The following is an 18,742-nucleotide window of genomic DNA, read 5'->3' on the forward strand; positions in this document are numbered from 1 at the left end:
TGTTTTATATTTTAATCATTATATAAGTACAATATATACTAAGTTGTAAGCATTATGCAATTTTATTTTTTACTTAATTATTCTTTTACTGTTTTTTTTGTTCTTTCTTTCTGGTGGAATTTAAAATCATGCAATCCTTTTTTAACTTTCATTTTAGGTTCAGGAGTGCATTTGCAGGTTTTTTATTTAGGTAAATTCATGTCACAGGGGTTTGTTGTGCAGATTATTTCACCAGCCAGCTACTAAGCTAGTATCCAATGGTTATTTTTTCTGATCCTCTCTGTCTTCCCACCCTCCATCCTCAAGTAGGCCCCAGTGTCTGTTGTTCCCCTCTTTGGGTCCATGAATTCTCATCACTTAACTCCTACTTATAAGTGAGAACATGCAATATTTCATCTTTTGTTCCTGTGTTAGTTTGCTAAGGATAGTGGCCTTTAGCTTTATTCATGTTCCCACAAAAGACACGATTATGTTCTTTTCTGTGGCTGCATACTATTCTGTGGTGTATGTGTACCACATTTTCTTTATCTAATCTGTCATTGATGGGCAATTAGGTTGATTACGTGTCTTTGGTATTGTGAATAGCACTGCAGTGAACATTCACATGCATGTGTCTTTATGGTAGAACGATTTATACTCCTTTGGGTATATACCCAGTAATGGGATTGGAAGAGCATACAGTTTTATAACTACAAGAAGAATATATGGTACTTTCGTTGTCATTCTTAGCATATAGTTTAGTTTAAGGCTTTAGAAATGCCCTAAAAGTTATACACTTAAGATTTAATTAAATGTAACCGGTTTTCTGCTCCATTTTTTTCTATTATGCACTTTTTAAAGTTTTTAAAATTCAGAAACTGTTTTGTTTTTGTTTTTGTTTTTGTTTTTTGAGATGGAGTCTTGCTCTGTCACCCAGGCTGGAGTGCCATGGCACGATCTCAGCTCACTGCAACCTCCGCCTCCTGGGTTCAAGCAATTCTCCTGCCACTGTGCCAGGCTATTTTTTGTACTTTTAGTAGAGATGGGGTTTCCCCATGTTGGTCAGGGTGGTCTTGAACTCCTGACCTCATGATCCGCCCACCTTGGCCTCCCAAGGGCTGGGATTACAGTAGTGAGCCACCACACCTGGCCAAGAAACTGTTTTTATATAAAATATATATTGTTTTTCAATCCTTAGAAAATTATATCCGTCTCATTTTAGATATAAAGCAGCTGAATTCCAAAGCAGTAATAAAATGTTCTAAATTTTCATTTGTGATATGGAACAAATCCAGGATTTAAAACCCAGATTTAAAAACCAGGTTCTGTCCAGGCTCAGTGCCTCACACCCGTAATCCCAGAACTTTGGGAGGGTAGATAACTTGAAGTCAGGAGTTTGAGACCAGCCTGGCCAACCTGATGAAACCCGTCTCTACTAAAAATAAAAAAATTAGCTGGGCGTGGTGGCGCACACCTGTAATCTCGGCTACTCAGGAGGCTGAAGCAGCAGAATCGATTGAACTTGGGAGGCAGAGGTTGCAGTGAGCCGAGATTGTGCCACGGCAATCCACCCTTGGTGACAGGGCTAGACCCCATCTCAAAAAAAAAAAAAAAAAAAAAAAACACCAAAAAAAAAAAAAAGAAAAACCCAGGTTCTTTATTTCCCTATCTCAGACATCTCCAAATCAAACAATACTGTGAGTATTTTAGATCTGTATAGTTTATTCCCACTTATTTGGATTTGCAATCATGACCAAATATTTCTGCTAAAAATTTGGTTATAATAAAGTATAGTTAACCCTGGTCCCCTAGTCAGATTTCTTGAAAAAACAAAAGTTAGCTTTTTATTGTTAACATTAAACTATTTTAAATAAGTAATATAATAGATAAGTGTTATAACCGGTTCTTTAGGCATCCATCCTTCTAAAGCTATAGAAACCTGAAATGTTCTCTCTGAGGTATTGTAATGCTTCATCAATTCACTCTCTTGAATTACAATCTTACAGTCGTACCTGTACATGTCAAGGAATTGATCCAGAGACTTGTGGAGCTTCATTCTCTTTTGGCTGTTCATGGAGTATGTACTTTAATGGCTGTAAGTTTGGTAGAAGCCCAAGCCCCAGAAGATTTAGAATTGATCCAAGCTCTCCCTTACATGTAAGTGTCCTTCTTTATTCAAATAATTTATTTTTGAATTACACATTGAATATGTAAGTGCATTCCTTTAACATTTTTTGAAACACTATAAAAACTAAATATTGAAAAGTAGTAATCAAATAGTAAAATTATATTTCTATTATATAAGTAAATAAATTAATTAAGACTCTAAATAAATTAGGTAAAGACTTTAGCTATCTCCCCAAATTCCAATTGTCCCTGGCTTCCTCCTCCTGCTCTACTACCCCACCCCAGCAAAATCATCATTAAAAGAACCTAGAATTTTATACTCAGCCAAAATAGGAAAAACCCATTTGCCAAAATTTCAAAGACTCAGAAAGTTTACTACCCACAGACCTACTATGAAAGAATTACTAAAGGACGTAATCCAGAAAGAAGATATATGAAACCGGAACGAATCAGTCCGGGACACGAGGCCATGGTGAGCAAAGAAATTAGTCGAACTTGGTGTTAAGTTAAATAAGTTCAATACTTATATATTATATTAAATTAAAATAACCTATAAGTATAACTCCACACCTTTATCAGCTCGTGGGTGGGTAGGCAGTGGGAGGGGGTGGGGCACCAATAGGAACTAAGTATTCTAATGTGTTATGCTTTGTTTGTGTAGTGAGGATTTATATATTGATTAACTATAAGATTGATATCTTTTAATCTTTGAGCAGTGACCAAGAGTAAAAAACATTTTATATTACAAGCCACTATACACATACATAGACATAAGAAAATAATTAGACCTATCTGAAAACAATACTTACCTTTCTTACATGTAACAGCAGTAACATCAAAATATTTAAAAAGTTAATATCAATGTAGTTATTCTAAGAGTCTATGATACATCATTTTTTTATCAGATTTCTTTCTTTTTCTTTTTTTTTTTTCTTTTTCTTTTTCTTTTTTTTTTTTTTTTTTGAGACAGAGTTTCGCTCTTGTTGCCCAGGCTGGAGTACAAAGGTGTGATCTTGGCTCACTGCAACCTCCACTTCCTAGGTTCAAGCAGTTCTCCTGCCTTAGCCTCCCAAATAGCTGAGATTACAGGCATGCACCACCATCATGCCCAGCTAATTTAGTATTTTTAGTAGAGATGAGGTTTCACCATGTTGGCCAGGCTAATCTCGAACTCCGGATCTCAGGTGAGATCTGTAGTCCCAGCTACTAAGGAGGCTGAGGTGGGAGGTTGGCTTGAACCAACCAGCTAGGTTTTCTTTCTAAATATTATATGATAAAAGTATCTGTCCCTTTTTGGCTCTCTGAGCAGCACTGTAGTGGTTGGCAAGAATAAGGCAGCACAAAGGGAGCCAAGAAGAAAGTGCTTGATCCATTTTCTAAGAAAGATTTGTATTACGTGAAAGCATCTGCCATGTTCAATATAAGAAATATTGGGAAGACACTAGTCACCAGAACCCAAGGAACCATAATTGAATCTGATGGCCTCAAGGGTCGTGTATTTGAAGTGAGTCTTGCTGATATGCAGAATGATAAAGTTGCATTTAGAAAATTCAGCTGATTACTGAAGATGTTCAGGGGAATGATTGCCTGATGAGCTTCCATGGCGTGGATCTTACCTGTGACAAAATATGTTTCATGGTCAAAAAATGGCAGACAATGGTTGAAGGTCATGTCAATATCAAGACTACCGGTGCTTACTTGCTTCATGTGTTCTGTGTTGGTTTTACTAAAAAATGCAACAATCAGATACGGAAGACCTCTTATGCTTAGCACCAATGTTTCGGCCAAATCTGGAACAAGTTGATGGAAATCATGACCCGAGAGGTGCAGACAAATTACTTGAAAGAAGTGGTCAATAAATTGATTCCAGACAGGATTGGAAAAGACATAGAAAAAATTCTTGCCAATCTATCCTCTCCATGATGTCTTTGTTAGATAAGTTAAAATGCTGAAGAAGCCTAGCTTTGAATTGGGGAAACTCATGGAGCTTTATGGTGAAGGTAGCAGTTCTGGAAAAGCCACTGAGGACAAAACAGGTGCTAAAGTAGAACGAGCTGATGGATATGAACCACTAGTCCAAGAATCTGTTTAAAGTTCAGACTTATAGTAGTGGCAAATAAAAAGTCATATTTGTGGGGGAAAAAAGTGTCTGTTAGTTGATAAACATAAAGGATCTTCAAAACATTCAAGGAAAATGCATATTATGAATAAACTATGTATGGATTTCATAATAATTTTCACCAAAATAAACTCATACTTACTTGTAACATGCCTGAATGGGGTCTAGTTTGATGCACTAAGAAGGATAAGATGTCAGTTTATAAACTGCCTCTATCAGAGCAACATGAATTGTGCTAAAATTGAAGCAAGAACAAACATCAAATTTCTGGTGAAGCTTGGGTGGAAGAATGATAAAATCGTTGATGCCTTATAAAAAGCTTATGGGCACTGCCCCAAAGAAATCTGCAGTTTACAAATGGATAGCTCATTTTAAGAACGGATGGGACGATTTTGAAGATGAAGGCCAAAGCGTCAAACTATCCACGTCATTTTTTTTTTTTTTTTTTTGAGTCTGGGTCTCGCTCTGTCATCCAGGCTGGAGTGCAGTGATGTGATCTCAGCTCACTCACTGGACCTGACCTCAGGTGATCTGCCTAACTCAGCCTTTCAAAGTGCTGGGATTACAGGCATGAGACACTGTGGCCAGGCAGATTTTTAGAAATTAAGATAAAATTGGCCCTCTCTGGCTGTTCAAGGAAAAATATTTGGCCCAAGATCAATGACAGTCCCTACTCCTTGCCAGGTGCCCAATTAATACCTAGGCTCTTTTATAAAGCTATTTTGTTGTTGTTGTCTTGAGATGGAGTTTCGCTCTTATTGCCTAGGCTGACGTGCAATGGCTTGATCTCGGCTCACTGCAACCTCCACCTCCCGGGTTCAAGTGATTCACCTATCCCAGCCTCCTGAGTAGTTGGGATTACAGGCTCCCGCCACCATGCCTGGCTAATTTTTGGTATTTTTAGTAGAGACGGGGTTTCACCATCTTGGCCAGGCTGGTCTTGTACTCCTGACCCTGTGATCCACCCACCTCAGCCTCCCAAAGTGCTGGGATTATAGGTGTGAGCCACAGCACCTGGCCTTTTGTGTGTGTGTGTGTGTGTGTGTGTGTGTATACACAAGATATATATGTATATATATACACATATATATGTATGTATGTGTATATATATATATATATATATATATATATATATTTTTTTTTTTTTTTTTTTTTTTTTTTTCTTCTGAGACGGAGTCTTGCTCTGTCACCCAGGCTGGAGTGCAGTGGCGCGATCTCATCTCACTGCAAACTCCGCCTCCCAGGTTCACGCCATTCTCCTGCCTCAGCCTCCCAAGTGGCTGGGACTACAAGCGCCCACCACCACAGCCGGCTAATTTTCTGTATTTTTAGTAGAGATGGGGTTTCACTAGGATGATCTCAATCTCTTGACCTTGTGATCCGCCTGCCTCAGCCTCCCAAAGTGCTAGGATTACAGGCGTAAGCCACCGTGCCTGACCTGGCCATTTGTATTTTTTTTTCGTAGAGATGGGATTTCATCATATTGGCCAGGCTGGTCTCGAACTCCTGACCTCAGATGATCTGCCCTCCTCCGCCTCCCAAAGTGCTGGGATTATAGATGTGAGCCACTGTGCCTGGCCCACATCAATTTTTGAGGAAACATTAATCTTGTTTGTTCCCTAACTGAATAGATATATCAACTGGTTCAGCCTACACAATTCTTACTGAAACATTATAGTTGTGCAAACTTCCTACTTGATGGGTTCCAAAACTGTTGTTCCCAGCTCAGCTGCAGAAAAGAATAGAAATTTTAAACAAGTGGGATCAAGATCCTGAGGCATTCTTAAAATTACAACAGGAGATGGAGCATGGCTTTACCAGCATAATCCTGAAGACAAAGCATAATCAAAGCAAACGCCAGCAAGAGGTATAGGAAGTCCAGTCAAAACCAAAGTGGACCAGTAAAGAGCAAAGTTCATGGCAACAGTTTTTTTGGGATGCTTAAGGCATTTTCCTTGCTCACTTTTTGGAGGGCCAAACAAAAATAACATCTGCTTATTATGAAAGTGTTTTGAGAAAGTTGGAGAAAGCTTTAGCAGAAAATAGCCCAGGAAGGCTCCACCAGAGAGTCCTTCTCCACCGCAAGAATGCTCCTGCTCATTCCTCTCATCAAACGGGGGCAGTTTTGCAAAGTGTATCAATGGGAACTCATTAGGCATCCACCCTATAGTCCTGATTTAACTCCTTCTGATTTCTTTTTGTTTCCTAATCTTAAAAAAATCCGTAAAGGGCACCTATTTTTCTTCACTTAATAATGTAAAGAAACAACAACAACAACAAAACTATATTGACATGGTTAAATTCCCAAAGTGCTCCATGCTTTAGAAATGGATTAAATGTCCAATATTGTCACTTACAAAAGTGTCTTGACCTGGATGGAACTTATGTTCAGAAATAATGTTATTTTATTTTTTGATACGGGGCCTCACTATGTTGCTCTGGCTGGACTCCTGGGCTCAAGGGATTCTCCTTTCTCAACTCCAAAGCTGGGATTACAGGCATGTGCCACCCTGCCTGGCAATTTTTTTAATTGAGACGGAGTTTCGGTCTTGCCCAGGCTGGAGTGCAATGGTGTGATCTCGGCTCACTGCAACTCCTGCCTCAGCCTCCCAAGTAGCTGGGATTACAGGCATGCGCCACCACGCCCAGCTAATTTTGTATTTTTAGTATAGATGGGGTTTCTCCATGTTGGCCAGGCTGGTCTTGAACTCCCCACTTCAGGTGATTCGCCTGCCTTGGCCTCCCAAACTGCTGGGATTACAGGCATGAGCCACAATTGCAGACCAGTATTTTTTATTTTTATTTATTTTATTTTATTTTTTGAGAAGGGTTCTCACTCTGTCACCCAGGCAGAGTGAGGAGGGAGGCCACCCACCTCGGCCTTCCAAAGTCCTGGGATTACAGGCGTGAGCCACCACGCCCAGCCAGAATCAAAGAGTTTTAAGGAGGAGAGTGACATACTTACACTTGCCCTTGAATGAGATCCCTCTAGATGCTGTTTGAACAATAGACTAAATGTAACCAAGAGTGGATTTAGCAAGATGAGCCAACCATCTATGAGCACAATCCATGGAGGGGATAATGGTCACTTAAATTATATGGGGTGGGGGGTTCATCTTTATCATCAGGCACACTGGAAATTGGACCAGGTTTGTAGAGGGCAGATCAGTAATTCAGTTTAGATATATTGGTATTGAGATTCCTAAGGGAAATCTACATGGGAATGTCAGGTCAATAATAGGAATCTGAAACTTAAGAAATGGTCTAAGTGGTAAGTATAGCTGTGGATGAGGATATGATGGTCCTAGAGATTAGATACAGAGTGTGAACAGAGGCCTGGTGTGGTGGCTTACATCTGTAATCCCCGTACTTTGGGAGGCCAAGGCAGGTGGATCACTTGAGGTCAGGAGTTTGAGACCAGCCTGGCTAACATGGTGAAACTCCGTCTCCACTAAAAATAGAAAAATTAGCCGGGCATGGTGGCGGGCACCTGTAATTCCGGCTACTCAAGTGCCTGAGGCAGGAGAATTGCTTGAACCTGAGAGGCAGAGGTTGCAGTGAGCTGAGATCGCACCACTGCACCCCCCCACACACAAAAAAAGAGTGGGAGAAGGAGTTAATCTTGACCACCAATAGGTAAAGATCTGCTAAGTAATTCCCTCTGTATCTGACATGCATGTTCATTCTAATGAAATAATTAGAAGGTCAGGATTTTACAATATGAATAATAAGCCTGTAATAGTAAAATAATACTAATAGGGCCGGGCACAGTGGCTCACACCTGTAACCCCAGCACTTTGGAAAGCTGAGGCAGGTGGATCACTTGAGGTCAGGAGTTCAAGACCAGCATGGCCAACATGGTGAAATCCTGTCTCTACTAAAAATGGAAAAAATTATCCGGGCGTGGTGGCTCATGCTTGTAATTCCAGCTACTCAGGAGGCTGAGGCAGGAGAATTGCTTGAACCTGGGAGGTGGAGGATACAGTGAGCCGAGATTGTGCCGCTGCACTCACACTCCGGCCTGGGCAACAGAGTGAAACTCTGTCTCAAAAAATAAAAGATGAAAAATAATAAAATAATACCAACAGTGAACTGTACAAACTATGAGTTGCTTCTAGTTGTCTACTTTATTTCAGTGCTTCTACACAATAAATGAGGTAATTTGAGATGACCTGTTCCTCAGTAGGACTTGTGACTCTGTGTGGTCCACAACAGAATAAATATTATTACAAAATAGAGTAAAGTGATGTGAGAATATTAAAGAATTTAAACCTGATGCTGCATACAAAAAGTATAGAATTTACATGTGACTTTTCCAGTGTTCATATCAATAGCAGTACACAAGTGTTAACATTTCTCTGCATTGTTCCACTTGTAGTAAAACACGGTTACCCAGCCCACTGGATACTTCCAGTGATTGAAGATATAAATAGAATTGTTTTAATGGGTGTTGATTTAAAAGTTTCTCCCAAATAAACATAATAATTAGTGTATGGGTTTAGCGAGGGCATGTTTTTAAAGTAGGGTCATGACTTTCCTGTTTTGTTTTGTTTTTTTGAGACAGAGTCTGGCTCTGTCTCCCAGGCTGGAGTGCAATGCCATGGTCTCAGCTCACTGCAATCTTCACCTCCCAGATTCAATAGATTCTCCTGCCTCAGACTCCCAAATATCTGGGACTACAGGCGCATGCCACCACACCTGGCTAATTTTTGTATTTTTAGTAGAGGCTGGGTTTCACCTTGTTGGCCAGGCTGGTCTCGAACTCCTGACCTCAGGTGATCTGCCCACCTCAGCCTCCCAAAGTGCTGGGATTACAGGCATGAGCCACTGTGCCCAGCTGACTTTCCTGTTTTTTAAACTACAACGGCTAAGATAAAAGTAGCCTGATTAACAGACAAATCTATGAATGGATCCTATGGATTTTTTTTGTGTAATCAAGTCAATATAAATCAATAGGAAACCAAAATGATTATGAGTCACACTTACGGTTGCTAAGATGGAGGCTTGTCAGAAACCACTAAATAATTGACTTGCTGTGTCTAAATTATTGTGTAGCTTTGGCTTTTATAATAATTTGATGCATACCAAAGGTCAATTGATTCATATAATGGTCTCCTTTCTGTGTTAATGGCATCTCCTTCCACCAAATCTCACATGAGCATATGAGGCGAAAGCCTCACTCACCCTGTTTAGTCCATGTTCTCTATACGTGTTTTTCTTTTTTGAGACAAGATCTGGCTCTGTCACCCAGGCCGGAGTGCAGTGGCTTGATATCATCTCTTGATCTGCCACTTCAGCCTCCCAGGTTCTAGCAACCTTCCCATCTCAGCCTCCCAAGTAGCTGGGACTGCAAGTATACTCCGTCACGGCCAGCTAATTTTTTTTATTTCTTGGAGAGGTGTGGAGTTTCACCAAGTTCCCCAGACTGGTCTCAAATTTGTGAGCTCAAGTGATCTGCCCGCCTCGGCCTCCCAAAATGTTGGGATTACAGGCGTTAGCCACCATGCTAATAGAGACTCATGTGATAGTTTTCCTTTGAAAAAATCTGATGTCTCTATCAGTAGCAATCCAGATTTCTTGAGTGTTAATGGTCCTCATAGTCCTTCAAAGTCTTCTTCAATTTGTAGTTATTATGGTGTAGAAAAGAGAACTATAGACAACCACTTGCCCACTTACTTCCTTTGATCTGCAGGCATTTACTAAACCTCTCAGTTATCCTGACCTTGCTCTTTCGTAGAGATCATGCGTAATATTCCTGTTTCATGGGCCATAAGGACATGTGTTTAATTCATAAGGACATATGGATTCCATTTGAAACAGGATCTCACACAGAGTAGGTGTTTTATGTATGTACTCTCTCTTCTCCGTTATAGGAACCTGTTACATTGTAACCAAGTTACTTGCCATTTCCCCTTGCCAGCAAGAACGTTGTTTGCATTTATTCCAAGTGTGCAATACTATTGAATAAATATAAAACATAGCTCTCATTTTTCACAACATGAACAGTATTGTAATTTATCTCTAACACTATTTAAATTTCTAATTAACTTAGAATTTTCATTTCAAAAGACTTCATTAAAGCATAACAATGTCTAATAGTTTAGATGGAGAAAAGAAGCAGTGTAATTTTCTGTGGTAGCTATTTTATCAGGATAAGTATGAATTGTGCATTAACCACCATCAGCCATGATTTATGATTCAGTTGTACCTTAAACACATGAAGGTGCGATTATAAAATACCTAATGGATTCTGTTTTCCTATAGGAAAAAAACCTTGAAGATAACTTACAGAGTTTGGCTACACGATTAGCTCCAATTTATAAGCAGTATGCTCCAGTAGCTTACCAAAATCAGGTATGTATTGGTATGAACTTTTTATTTATTTATTAATTTGAGGTGGGGTCTTGCTTTGTTGCCCAGGCAGCAGTACAGTGGCATGATCAAAGCTTACTACAAACTCCTAAGCTCAAGCAATGCTCCTGCCTCACCCTCCAAAAATGCTGGGATTACAGATATGCCAGACTGTTTTATATCTTAAAAAGTCATTGTTGGCCAAGCTCGTTAGCTCACGCCTGTAATCCCAGAACTTTGGGAGGCCAAGGCAGTCGGATCACCTGAGGTCAGGAGTTCAAGAATAGCCTGGCCCACATGGTGAAACCCCATCTCAACTAAAAATACAAAAATTAGCTGGGTGTGGTGGGTGTGCACCTGTAGTCCCAGCTAATCAAGAGGCTGAGGCAGGAGAATCACTTGAACCCAGGAGGTGGAGGTTGCATTGAGCTGAGATCATGCCACTGCACTCCAGCCTGGGTGACAGAGCAAGACTCTGTCTCAAAAAAAAAAACAAAAAAAACCAGTCATTGTTAATAGAAAAATTTTCAAATTTGAACAAATATATACATACACAGCATATCTATCTAACATACATTTATGTAATTGGACTTTTTATTGATCTACTCTTTTTTTTTTTTTTTTTTTTTTTTGAGACAGAGTCTTGCTCTTGTTGCCCAGGCTGGAGTGCTGTGGCGCAATCTCAGCCTTTTGGCTCACTGCACCCTCTGCCTCCCAGCAGGTTCAAGCAATTCTCCTGCCTCAGCCTCCCGAGTAGCTGGGACTACAGGCATGCGCCACCACACCCCGCTAATTTTTGTATTTTTAGTAGAGATGGGGTTTCACCATGTTTCCCAGGCTGCTCTCGAACTCCTGGCCACAAGTGATCTGCCCGCCTCAGCCTCCCAAACTGCTGGGATTACAGGCATTAGCCACCCTGCCCAGCATCCACCTTTTCATTTTAAAAGGAGTTACAAATTGACTTTCAGTAATGGTTCATGAAATGTATGTATATCTTCTTTTTACGGATATTGAAAACTCTGTGTATATGATTAATGCGCTTTTATTGGTCTTTCTTTCTAATGGAATGATTGAGTCTATTTTACTTGCTTATCCATCTCCAACAAGAATTAGTATCCTCACCCTGCCTTCCCTTGTAAATTCAGTGATTTTCCTTTTACTCCATGTATTGTCAAGTGCTTTCTCCTGAATGTTGCTAAGCTACACCTTCATGACAATAATACATTTAGTCTCAGAAATTACAAAGTGTAATTAATTAGAAACTTCATGAGGAAATTATTTTTACTCTTTACTGAAGGTAGGTGATTTCCTTCTCTCTCTTAAGATTGTGCTCCATGCTTTCTTTTCTAGGTGGAATATGAAAATGTTGCCCGAGAATGTCGGCTTGGCAGCAAGGAAGGTCGTCCCTTCTCTGGGGTCACTGCTTGCCTGGACTTCTGTGCTCATCCCCACAGGGACATTCACAACATGAATAATGGAAGCACTGTGGTATGTACCTGTGTGAATTTGTATTCTAAAAGCTCCATCACTATATGCTTAGGCTGCAGTCCTTACGTATACTGTGATGACTATTACTGTGAAAAATCTTAATTTATGTGTTATTAGAAATAAGTGGAAAATAAAGTGAAAAAAAAGAAATAAGTGTGTAGTGCAGGTCTTCATTAAATGCATTATCTATGCACTTCTAAAAAGTAACAGGGCCAGCTTCAAACAAACATTTTATTGAAAGGCTATGTTACATATTTAATTGTTGTGTTTTTGCTGGGAGGCAGGAGTACTTTTTTTTAAATTTATTTATTTATTTATTTTTTGAGACGGAGTCTCACTCTGTCGCCCAGGCTAGAGGGTAGTGGCACGATCTCAGCTCACTGCAACCTCTGCCTCCTGGGTTCACGCCATTCTCCTGCCTTAGCCTCCCAAGTAGCTGGGGCTACAGGCGCCCACGACCACACCCGGATAATTTTTTGTATTTTTAGTAGAGATGGGATTTCACTGTGTTAGCCAGGATGGTCTTGATCTCATGACCTCGTGATCCACCCACCTTGGCCTCGAAAAGTGCTGGGATTACAGGTGTGAGTCACCACGCCCAGCCAATTTTTTGTATTTTTAGTAGAGATGGGGTTTCACCGTGTTAGCCAGGATGGTCTTGATCTCATGACCTCGTGATCCGCCCACCTTGGCCTCCCAAAGTGCTGGGATTACAGGTGTGAGCCAACGCGCTCGGCCAATTTTTTAAAGTAACAATTCTCTGCTATCAAACTAGTAGGTATGAAGTTGAGCATGTTACTTGATATTTGTTTTTGCCATCTGCACTTCAGGGTTTTTGTGAGGCAACTGTGCCAATTATCAGCAATATTTGCATTCTGGTATGCCTACTATGTTTATAGTTATGTAAATCATCACATGTCCATCGCCTGAAGTCAATTAAGAAATACGTAAATTAGGCAGAAGACCCAGTGGAAAATCTTGAAATAGTATTTTTGTCTGTTTGCTTCACCTGTTTGTCTTCCTGTCATCTAGTAAAGCAAGATCAATAGAGAGCAATTGCTTTTGTTTTTCTGCTGCACCAGTTTTTTAGGTTTGCCAGAGAATTCTAAAACCTTCATTAAGTCTTGGCTGCAGGATGAGCATGTTGGCTCATGTCTGTAATCCCACCTACTTCGGAGGCCAAGATAGGAGGATTGCTTGAGCCCCGGGAGTTCTAGACCAGCCTGGGCAATAAGACCCCGTCTCTTTAAAATATACAATTTTTAAAAAATAATTTTTTTTAGGTTTAGCTACAGCCTCTTACAGTGTGATTGAAAGTATATGATCAGATCTATCAACAGGCAGTCTTTCTTCCTTGCTTGGTCAGTAGAAGAGTATTGGTGATAGATTAAGCCACAACAACTTTTTTTTTTTTTTTTGCGTATCATTCCTGTATACAAAAATGTTTTGCAGAGTCTTTGAGACCAATGTTATTTCTAAGTGTTGAAGTTATATAAATCCAGCCTGGTAAATACTAGCCAGGCAGTGGTTCATCACCATCACTTGGCCAGGACATTTTACCTGAATTACAGAATATCTGTGATCAGGCTGAAGTCAGTTCAGAGTCAAGCTAAGTTTCAGTTTCTCTTCTCTGCGCTCTTTGACTTCCAGGGCCCGGATTACTCACTCAATGAGGGTCTTATCCGGAACTTGACATCACTCCAAATTCCCCCATCTTCAAACATGTGAACTCTTGAAATTCTACCACTACCTCTCCCTTCACCCTGTTTTACCATAATTTCTATTTTTTTTATTTTTTTTATTGGTTTACTCTCTACTCCTTATTGGTTTACTTTCTAATTATGCTCCTCATGTCAACTCCTTATGTCCTTCTTAGTCTCTCTGTGACCAATTAAATTGGTTCCAGTAAACATTTATTGATGTGACATTCTGATTTTCAGCATGACTATTATTAGTTATGAACAGATTACCACCATGACAGTTTAATATTGCAGGCTTTCTCCAGGCACCATGGCTCATGCCTGTAATCCCAGCACTTTGGGATGCTGAGGTGGAAGGATTGCTTGAACCCAGGATCTTGAGTGTAGCCTGGGCAACTTTGTGAGACCCTGTCTCTACAATTAAAAACAAAATTAGCTATGCGTGATGGTACACAACTGTACTCCCAGCTACTCGAGAGACTGAGGCAGGAGAAACACTCAAACCCAGGAGTTTGAGGCTGAAACATATATTTATATTTTAGACTTTGCTGAAAAATGTGACTACAGATATTGAAAAAAATGAATTTTTTTAACCTTTAACTTTGCTTTACCTTGGTATCTATCAAGTTCTACCATGAATACAAAAATGCTTTGGAAATCAAATCTGTTTATTTCATTTATCTCCAGTCTTCGCTATCACTGAAAGGGTTTACAGCTCCGGGATATATGTTTTTATTATTAAATAAATAAAACATTTTATAGGTTTCTGTTGGATTTTTAATATTTGAAAATTAATTTGGCTGGGCCCAGTGGCTCACACCTGTAATCCCAGCACTTAGGGAGGCCAAGGTGGGTAGATCACTTGAGGAAAATTAATTACAATTAAAATATTAGTTTTATAATAAAATGTTAGTTTTTAAAGCAGAATATTAATATTAGGTATCAAAAGTCAGGAATCACTATAGTGCCTATAGTTCTGTATTTTCATTTCTCCATAATAAATATAACCTTTAATGTAAGGAGGAGGGCTAAAATAGGTTGCATTTAAGATGAAAAAAGTTGGCTATTAGTATTTCATATCCAAAGAAAGGCAAATTTATTGATATTTATTGATATGGCTCCTCACTGGAATAGAGCAGTAATAGAACAGAAAGAGAATATTTATCAATATAAAATTAAAAAAAAATTTTTTTTAACTGTTAGCGTATAAGTCTTTCTGGAAAGAGAAATCAATTATGTCCCTGCTATCCAAGGAATGTGACATTCTTGAAATATCAGAAATATGGTGCTATGTGAGCTAAAATCATATCTTCCTAATAAGTTATACTTAATATGAACACAATAAACATAGTTCAATAGCCATTCCTTAATTTAGGCAATGAAGTAAGATGAAATGTAACAAGAATGTTTAGTATCAAAAATACGTAAGTATTTTATAACGTTATATTTACTTAGAAAATTAAATATTATTCTGGTCTGCCTACAAACAACTGGGAAGTTACTATGATTGAACAGAGTTGGGTGGCTTGATATAAAATAATAATATACCATCAGCAACCAATTGAAAATAAAATGGGAATACAAATCTCTTTCCCAAAGGCAACAACACGAAGGTAGGAATAGCCACAATGAATGTGCACGACCCGTATATCTTTCCCATTTCATGTTTTTCTCCCTATCAGGTTTGTACCTTAACTCGAGAAGATAACCGCTCTTTGGGTGTTATTCCTCAAGATGAGCAGCTCCATGTGCTACCTCTTTATAAGCTTTCAGACACAGATGAGTTTGGCTCCAAGGAAGGAATGGAAGCCAAGATCAAATCTGGGGCCATCGAGGTCCTGGCACCCCGCCGCAAAAAAAGAACGTGTTTCACTCAGCCTGTTCCCCGTTCTGGAAAGAAGAGGGCTGCGATGATGACAGAGGTTCTTGCACATAAGATAAGGGCAGTGGAAAAGAAACCTATTCCCCGAATCAAGCGGAAGAATAACTCAACAACAACAAACAACAGTAAGCCTTCGTCACTGCCAACCTTAGGTGAGCCCTATGGAACCTGGTAATCTCTGCACAACTTTGATGGATAGATGTGTTTGGACTTTGCCTTGCCTTATTTGTTTAGAGTTAAAACTAAGACACTGAATATATTTTTACATATACCAGAACCAAAAGTCAACAAAAAAGTGACCCATCAGTATTTCTTGGTAACTTTTTCGACTTATCCTTTTTTTTTTTTTTGAGAGGGAGTCTTGCTCTGTCACCCAGGCTGGAGTGCAGTGGCGCAATCTTGGCTCACTGCAAGCTCTGCCTCCTGGGTTCACGCCATTCTCCTGCCTCAGCGTCCTGCTTAGCTGGGACCACAGGCGCCCGCCACCACGCCCAGCTAATTTTTTGTATTTTTAGTAGAGACGGGGTTTCACCGTGTTAGGCAGGATGGTCTCGATCTCCTGACCTCTTGATCCGCCCCCGCCCCCCCGCCCCCGCCTTGGCCTCCCAAAGTGCTGGGATTACAGGTGTGAGCCACCGCGCCCGGCCTACTTATCCTTTTTTATACTTTAACATATTCTTTTTTTATGGCATGGGGAGGGGTCTCACTTTATTGCCCAGGCTGGCTTGGCACGCCTTGGCTTAAGCAATAATCCCACCTCAGCCTCCTCCAGAGTAGCTGGAACTACAGGCACACAGCACTGTGCCCAGCTAATTTTAACATGTTCTTATCATTGTTCCTGTGAATTTCCCCATCTAATTCGAAGCCCTACTCGTTGTTGGCATAGATAAGAGACATGACTTTCGGGATGCCTTCCTTGGTCACCTTTACCATCAATTTAAGCAATAATTAAATAAATATTACTAAACACCACTTTCAACAGTGGTATTGTGGGTTGTCGTTGTTGTTTTTGTTTTGTTTCTTTGTTATTTTGTTTTTGTTTGTGGAGACAAGATCTAGCTCTCTTGCCCAGGCTCTGGAGTGCATGCAGTGGCGTGATCATGGCTCACCACAGCCTCAACCTTCCAGGCTCAAGCAATCCTCCCACCTCAGCCTCCCAAGTAGCTGAGACTGTAGTGTGTGTGCCACTGTGTCTAGCTAATTATTGTATTTTTTATAGAGATAGGGTTTCACCTGTTTGCCAGGCTGATCTGGAACTCCTGGACTCAAATGATTCTCCCAAATTGGTGTAATTACAGGCATGAGCCATCACACCTGGCTTGATTTGTTGATTATAAAGTCTCGTTAGTTTTGGTTTTGGGTTTTGGGTTTTGGGGTTTTTTTTAAAAGACAGAGTCTTGCTATGTTGCCAAAGCTGGAGTACAATGGCTATTCACAGACACAATCATAGCACACTGCTGCCTCAAACTCTGGGATCCCATGGGAACCTCTCTAGCAGCTAGAACTATAGGCGTGCACCACACCTGGCTCTTACCAGCTTTTCGCCTAATATATATTTTGAGTCAGAGTCTCACTCTGTCACCCAGGCTGGAGTACAGTGGCACCATCTTGGCTCACTGTAACCCTCCACCTCCTTGATTCAAGCGATTCTCCTGCCTCAGCCTCCCGAGTAGCTGGGATTACAGGTGCCCGCCACCACGCCCAGTTAATTTTTGTATTTTTAGTTGAGACGGAGTTTCACCATGTTGGCCAAACTGGTCTCAAACTCCTGACCTCAAGTGATCCACCCGCCTCGGCCTCACAAAGTGGTGAGAGCCACCACGCCCGGCTGGCTTCTCAGTTCTTTTGTCACAACCTCAATTGTCTTTTGATAGCTTTTTTTTTTTTTTTTTTTTTTGAGACAGAGTCTCGCTCTGTCTCCCAGGCTGGAGTGCAGTGGCGCAATCTCAGCTCACTGCAAGTTGTGCCTCCCGGGTTCACGCCATTCTCCTGCCTCAACCTCCCGAGTAGCTGGGACTACAGGCACCCGCCACCACGCCTGGCTAATTTTTTTTATATATTTTTAGTAGAGATGGGGTTTCACCGTGTTAGCCAGGATGGTCTCGATCTCCTGACCTCGTGATCTGCCCGCCTCAGCCTCCCAAAGTGCTGGGATTACAGGCGTGAGCCACCGTGCCCGGCCTACTTTCTTAACTTCTATAACAAGTTGTTCCAGGCTTATCTATATAATTCTGCCCCATATTTAAAATCAGCCATTTCTTTGATGAGCCTATAGAAGGAAAAAAAAATCATGAATTCATACTGACACTCAAAATTAACATTATAATGTATTCCTTAGCTTCTTTCATTTTTACATTTATGAGAAGCTGTTTATTTGTTTTTATAACATGAGCAGAGTTGGCAGTGCAGGCATTTATATAATGCTGAAAGAAATGCAATAATACAGAGAAATACTGAGAAGAAATGTATATTCCCAGATATTTGTAAGCATAATGTACAATACTTGGGCCATAATGTCCTTTTGTAATTCTACCCCTCAGTCATTTAGTCTTTCCTTCCCATCATTTACCTTCTGTGGACAACTTAACCTCTATAATAATAGTGCCACTGATAACAATAGAGGTTTCCTGATGTACCATTTCTGGGTCTTATGTATGCGTTATCTTTAGAAATGAGAGCTCTCAAGGCTCCAGGTTGTAGCATCTGAGAGGAGAACTGCAGAGCTTCTGAAATTGATCATTATGTATTATATTATCAATTTATTATATTTTTAATTACTTTAAAACATGGCTGCTTTACCTTTTCTTGGTCCTAAGATTTGCTGGTTTTGCACTTCCAAATAGTTTTTTAGAAGTTCACAACAGGGGCTAGGCGTGGTGGCTCATGCCTGTAATCCCATCACTTTGGGAGGCAGAGGCGGGCGGATCATGAGGTCAGGAGTTCAAGACCATCCTGGTCAACATGGTGAAACCCCGTCTCTACTAAAATACAAAAAATTAGCCAGGCGTGGTGGAGATTGAGACCATCCTGGCCAACATGGTGAAACCCCGTCTCTACTAAAATACAAAAAATTAGCTGGGTGTGGTGGTGGTGTGC

The 18,742-nt window shown here is 40.3% G+C and overlaps 1 protein-coding gene and 1 pseudogene across 15 annotated transcripts in view, besides 1 other annotated feature; both read left to right on the top strand.

Moving 5' to 3' along the window:
* TET1 (tet methylcytosine dioxygenase 1) overlaps positions 1–18,742 on the top strand; it is a 134,151-nt gene that overhangs the window by 110,573 nt on the left and 4,836 nt on the right. For 10 of the 15 annotated variants that reach the window (NM_001406365.1, NM_001406373.1, XM_017016688.2 and 7 more), the window contains 5 exons: positions 1,986–2,136; positions 2,492–2,578; positions 10,490–10,579; positions 11,927–12,064; positions 15,447–15,798. In NM_001406365.1, the coding sequence (NP_001393294.1) occupies positions 1,986–2,136; positions 2,492–2,578; positions 10,490–10,579; positions 11,927–12,064; positions 15,447–15,798 (818 nt within the window). The remainder of the gene's footprint in view (positions 1–1,985; positions 2,137–2,491; positions 2,579–10,489; positions 10,580–11,926; positions 12,065–15,446; positions 15,799–18,742) is intronic. The other 5 variants (NM_030625.3, NM_001406374.1, NM_001406371.1 and 2 more) reach the window with 1 other exon arrangement.
* RPS3AP37 (RPS3A pseudogene 37) lies at positions 3,395–4,241 on the top strand (annotated as a pseudogene).
* Positions 13,674–13,863: an enhancer, noted in NCBI's record as "active region_3468". NCBI's record gives its function as "activates an Ori minimal core promoter by ATAC-STARR-seq in GM12878 lymphoblastoid cells {active_cell/tissue: GM12878}" and the evidence as "EXISTENCE:reporter gene assay evidence [ECO:0000049][PMID:35858748]".

The sequence above is a fragment of the Homo sapiens genome, chromosome 10, assembly GCF_000001405.40.
Source record: "Homo sapiens chromosome 10, GRCh38.p14 Primary Assembly".
NCBI lineage: Eukaryota > Metazoa > Chordata > Mammalia > Primates > Hominidae > Homo > Homo sapiens.